We start from the raw sequence: 6,078 nt of genomic DNA on the forward strand, positions 1-6,078 counted from the left end.
GAGCAAGGGTGATGGTGTGGTGTGGAGACAGAATAGATGATTAGAGACGATCAGGGACACCTGGCAAAATGAGTGCCACTGATTAATTAGTGAGGCTCTGATTATTAACTGGGCTCAGGGCTTATCAATTGCCTTCACTCTGCAGCAGAACTCTGAACTAGAGATATCACTCGACCAAATTAGAACCTCACCATACCACATAATAAACTTATTCTGTCTCACAACTCCCAGTCTTGCTTTATACTGTGCCTTCCTGGGAGAGAAGGAAAAGCTTTACCAGGGAATTCGTTCATGAGTAGGAACCTTAGCACTGTTGTTCTTCAATACCTGGTCATTTGGGTAGGAGAGGGCCCAGGAATAGGGTAACCAACGAGCCCAGTTTGCCCAAGATTGTCCCAGTGTCAGTACTGAAAATGCTGTGTCCTGGGAAACCTCTCTGTCCCAGGCAAACTGGGATGGTTGGTCACCCTATCCAGGAGACTCAGAGCAAGAGGCTGTAGAAGACAGAATTTTTTAAAAAAATTAAGTTCTTTGTTATTTCAGTGGGGCAGGCTGTTTAAAAAAATCAAATGAGCATACCTCAAAACAATCAGAATGAAAGTGGTCCAGACAGACAGGTTTTATTCTCTTTTTTCCTAATAACTCACTGCTACTGTGTAATAAGGGACTAGACTGGGGGGAGTCCCCTCCTCATACCACAATTCAAGATGTTATTTCTCTCTTTCAGTAAATGACTTCGTAAAACTATACGCACCTTGCCTCTTTTGCAGGGAAAGAGCATTGCCTATGGTTAGGTCTACATGGTTAAATTAATAGTCTGCAGGAAGTGCTGGATCTAAGGAGGCAACCACAACTAGGGGGTCACTGGGGTGGAGCTACCTACACATATAGGATGACAAGGAGATTTCATCCAGTCTGGTTGGTAGCGATAGGCTGTAAGCTGGGTTGAGAATGATTCTGAAGTGCTGTGTAGGTGGAGCAAGAGAGAGTGCTACATTAATCAGTAACACACACCTCTGAAAATGAACTAGCTAAGTGAGTCAAGTTTTCTCTCATGATAGGCTGACTTCAAAGCAACATTGATACAAGGAATAAAAATTAGAAAATACAAAAGTAAGTCTGTCTAATAGAGACATTTCAACAGCAAATACTACATACATTACGGTAACTAAAATGTGGCTCTCAAAACTACTTCTTACTTTTAACCTCTGAATCCACTGGTTTTGTCTTCAATACAACATTTTTTGCCAAAGGGAGTCTTATGGGCTCTGTTGTGGGTGTGTCTTTGAGTATATAATTATCATCACCTCTATGCTCACACACCTTTCTCTTGCAAAAACTCTAATATTGACATCAGCCGGATGTCAGCAAAATGACATCTTTCTGAGGCTGAAGGTTTTCATGTTGCCTTTGGGGGAAAATAATCACTAGACATTTTCTGAAATGGAAGTGTCTGTTGGCTGAAGTGGCTTCTTTAAAAAGAAAAAAAGAAGCTTTGCTCAAAATGGAACCAAAAGTATCAGTCATAAAGCATTACAAATGATCTAAAAATATTCTCAAATTGGATTCAATCATTGGTTAAAAATAGTCCAAACACTGAAAGACTGATTTTCTCATTTTTTCCTTAAAAAATTATAATGTGCTCAACATATAAATAAGGGCTCTGGCCCTTGAATGTCAGTGATGTTGTCTACCAGTGTCTAGTATTGTGAGTTTAGTGTGGTGATTAATCAACAAAAGCTAGCATTTATTTTATCAGAATAAAATTTTACTGGCCCAACAGCAAGTTTAACTTTTTCAAAAAGCTTATTTACTGAATTTATATTTTGAATGATTCATCATGGGTACTGTTAAAAATAACAAATTATTGCATACCTATATCAAAACATCTCATGTACCCCATATATATCTACTATGTATCCACAAAAATTAAAAATAAAAAATTTAAAAAGTAACAGATTATCTTGATTATAAAATATATACGCATTGTGGAAAATTTGGAAAATAGAGTAAATAGATGAAAATAAATTACACAGCATCACTTCCATTCTTTTCTCTTTTTATATACAAATGGATATGATGGTATCTCTAAAGATCTTTTTTTTTTTTTTTTTTTTTTTCCAAACAAGCTAAGATGGCACCAATCCCAGGGCAGGATCTGAGTCTTGACTATAGTCCTTAGTTTTGAACAAGTACAGGGTGACAAGAAAGTGCATAACAAAGCTATGACTGAATAAAACTCAAATCTTGGTGAAGAAAAGAAATCAAGGACACATTAAAAAAACTATGGGTACACACATTTTCACTTCTTAGTTTATATCTTATGGCAGGGAGCAGGAGTAATCTTTTCTTTTTCCTTTATGAATGGTAAAGACAACTGGTATCCTGTCTGAATATAATATGCCTATCCAGCACACTTTGGGTAGAATCCAATGATGTGTGATAACTCAACAATTTGGTACAGGAAACAGAGCCCACAACATTCCTCAGAAATTTCACAGACAATCTAGACAGAACAGACCTATTTGAATAGGGTTTTTTGTTCAGTAATATTTGAAGGATGCAATTTTTCACGGTGGACACATTGGGTTTGTGACAGATGCAAATTCAGATATGAATAAAACACAATTAAATGATTCAGACTCTTGAACTGTGCTTCCACAGACCTGATTTCTGCATGGGCCAAACAAAGGAAAGTTGGTGTTTGACAACTGTGGATGACTCATCAGAGGAAGTTCTTACCATGTGGATGTGCTTGTTGAAATAAAGCTGGTTAACAAAGCTAGCCTTTTTTTTTTTTTTTTCCCTCTGTGGGCCAGCGAGGGTTTCATTTTAGGAAATGGAAGTGTCAATGTGGACAAACTGTTCTGAAGTATTTATAGCATAATGTAATGTGTTAGTTTCCTTAAACTGCCTTTGGACAAAGAATATGTGAATGGAAAATAAGATCTGAATTTCTAATACTGTCTTGTGTCATCTGAACTGTATTATGAGTATAAAATGATTTAGCACTGTGATATGTACACAGTGTGATAGGAATGTAGTGTAGCTACAGTGGGGTGTGCTAGTGGCTTTCCAATTAATTTTAAGAGCTCTTTTATTCATTAAGGATATTACACCTTTGTCATATTCATTCATTTTCTCCAAGATTATCACATGCTTTTTAACTTGGCAGTGTTTTTATTTTCTGATGAACAAAAGTTTTCAATTTTTATATAATCAAATATATTAGTATTTTTGTTTGTGACTTCTTAATGCTTTGAAAATATATCTCCATTCTAGGGTCACAGATACTTCCTATAGTTTCTTTATTCTTTTATGGCTTCACTTTTAATATGTAACTCTTTAAGCCATCTGTCATTTGCTCTGTGGTGAGGAATAGTGAGAATCTAATCAGGTTACCATTTTTCCCCCATGAAATTGACCAATTACCCTATTCTCATTTGTTGCATATGCCGTTCTGTCCTCCCAGATTTGTGATTTATGATAAATTGCATCACTTCCTAAATTAGGGTTTCAAGTCTCATTCTCTATTCTGTTCCATTAATGTCTGTCACTTCTGCTGGTACCACATTATTTTTATTACTGTAGTTGCATAATGTATTTTAGTGCTTGGTAGCAGGAGTTTCTCTTCATAACTTTTTTTTTTTGGTAACAAAAAATTCTTGGCTATTTTCACCAGTTTAACTCTTCCAAATGCATTTCAGGAAATCCCACTGGAATTCTGACTGGAGTTGCATAAACCTATGAATTAATTTGGAAACCTTTTATATCCTTACAACTATTCAATCTTCCTGTTCAGGAAAATGGAATATTTAATATCTTTCTAATAATCAAATATTCTCTATATCTAGGAAAGTCATTTTTATGTATCTCAATCAAGTTTTATAGTTTTCTTGATATGGGTTCTACACATTGACTTACATCCATCTACATTTTTGATTTTTATACTGGGAATGAGATGGAGCTGCTGCTAACTCTGGAGAAACTTACTGCTGATCTTTTATCTTTGGACATGATCCTGACTGTTCTCCTAAGTGATGGATTATCTTAGATTTGAAAAGTATAGGAAGTAAAGGACAAGAGGGACATGTGGGGGGATGTAGTAGAGTCTGTTTTATATTCATAGTGAGAAGACTCTGAACCTCCCAGGAGGGCTCTAAAGGTTAAAAAACATGCAACCAAAAGCACCGAGGATTAGTAAAAAGAAATAATGTGCAGTAAGTGCTCAGAGGGATGACTCATTGCATTGGATCATCTTTGGGAAACCACCTACTAAGCAGAATTTAGCAGCTAAAGCGTTATTTTTGGTGCACAGTTTATTGCTACTTCCTCTTGGGAAAAAAAGATTAATCCTAGCTCCCTAAAACACTTAAGAATGGTCACCCTGGCAAACCGGCCTGTCAGGTAACAATGTTGTTTCCAGATCAGGGCAGTGTTAGGTTCCCTGTAGGGATTTCTTCAGAACAAGGGAGAAGCACTTTACCACATGTTATGGAAAGGAGTATAGACCAGGAGACAGAAGATCCAGCTCTTAGTGCTGGCTCTGTAACTGATTAACAAATAAATCCCAGAGTGCAGGCAGGCCACTTAATCTCTGCTCATCTGCTAAAAAACAGATATCACAGCTTCTGTCGTACTCCATATCATGGAAGAAAATAACACAAAATAATAAACCATGTGAATGAAGCAGTTAAAACTGCTGAGAAATAAAATTAACCTGCTCAGTAAAAGTAAGGCTACCAATCAAGAACAAATAGAATGAACTGTTACTCGTTCCAAAGTTATTTATTTTTGCTTAATACTGTATTTCCTTCTCCTTTTTCTCTGTCCTGTGGTTTCTTTTCCTTGTTTCATTATGACTAAATATGCAAGGAAAATTCAATGCTGTTATTTTGGTCCTATCTTTGGCCCAAATCTCTAGATTTAATTTACCCATGATACCGTGCTGTGCTATTTAAAAAGATCACTAAGAAAACTTTATAGATGATGAAGTTAGGAAAATGACAAATAAGGGGATAAATGCGTTTCCTTATTTAGGTGAGGACTATGGCTGAGAAGATTCTGTAACTTAGACATAGTCAGGGACGTGATAAGAGCAGGAGCTGTAATCAGTTTTGCTAATCATGATTTCTAAACAATACTATTTTATCAAGTATTTAAATGCAATCTATCCGTAGCACATTTAAAAAAAAGTTATAAGAAATATTTTTAAATTTGTTATTATTATTATTTTTTGAGACAAGATCTCATTCTGTTGCCCAGGCTGGGGTGCAGTGAAGTGATCTCAGCTTGCTGAAGCCTCCATTTTCTGGGTCAATCATTCACCCACCTCAGCCTCCTGAGTAGCTGGGACCACAGGGGCATGCCACCACACCAGGCTAATTTTTGTATTTTTTGTTTTGTAGAGACAGGGTTTTGCCATGTTGCTCAGGCTGGTTTCGAACTCCTGAGCTCAAGCGATCTGCTGCCTTAGCCTCGCAAAGTGCTGGGATTACAGGCGTGCACCACTGTGCCCAGCCAACACAAATATTAAGGTCAACTTCTGGTTTCAGTACAAACTATTTAGTTTATTTATGAAGCAAATGAACTTACAAGAATGAGAAGGCTGAGGGGATATGATTATATATAAGATCCATTTGCATTATACATTCTCTAGAGAGGTACAACTCTCTGTCATATTTTTGATTTTATAACTATAAGAGAAAAATATCACCGGCAAAGGCTTTATGTCACTCATAAGAAATGAAACAGCATTTGATAAAAAACAGCATGTACAGGAATAAATAATTACATTTTGGTAAAAATATATGTTAAAAAAGATAAAATATTTATGAAATATGTTTTCTTCTTCCCCTGAGACGGAGTGCCCAGGCTGGAGTGCAGTGGCGCAATCTTGGCTCACTGCAACTTCTGCCTCCTGGGTTCAAGCGATTCTCCTGCCTCAGCCTCCCAAGTAGCTGGGATTACAGGCATGCGCCACCATGCTGACTAATTTTTGTATTTTTAGTGGAGATGGGGTTTTGCCATGTTAGCCAGGCTGGTCTCGAACTCCTGACCTCAGGTGATCTGCCCACC

General features: G+C 36.9%; 1 protein-coding gene across 3 annotated transcripts in view, besides 2 other annotated features; it reads right to left on the minus strand.

Moving 5' to 3' along the window:
• CDK6 (cyclin dependent kinase 6) overlaps positions 1-6,078 on the minus strand; it is a 231,653-nt gene that overhangs the window by 25,916 nt on the left and 199,659 nt on the right. The window lies entirely within an intron of this gene.
• Positions 1,225-1,314: an enhancer, noted in NCBI's record as "active region_26265". NCBI's record gives its function as "activates an Ori minimal core promoter by ATAC-STARR-seq in GM12878 lymphoblastoid cells {active_cell/tissue: GM12878}" and the evidence as "EXISTENCE:reporter gene assay evidence [ECO:0000049][PMID:35858748]".
• Positions 1,425-1,474: an enhancer, noted in NCBI's record as "active region_26266". NCBI's record gives its function as "activates an Ori minimal core promoter by ATAC-STARR-seq in GM12878 lymphoblastoid cells {active_cell/tissue: GM12878}" and the evidence as "EXISTENCE:reporter gene assay evidence [ECO:0000049][PMID:35858748]".

Source organism: Homo sapiens, chromosome 7, assembly GCF_000001405.40.
Source record: "Homo sapiens chromosome 7, GRCh38.p14 Primary Assembly".
Classification (NCBI taxonomy): domain Eukaryota; kingdom Metazoa; phylum Chordata; class Mammalia; order Primates; family Hominidae; genus Homo; species Homo sapiens.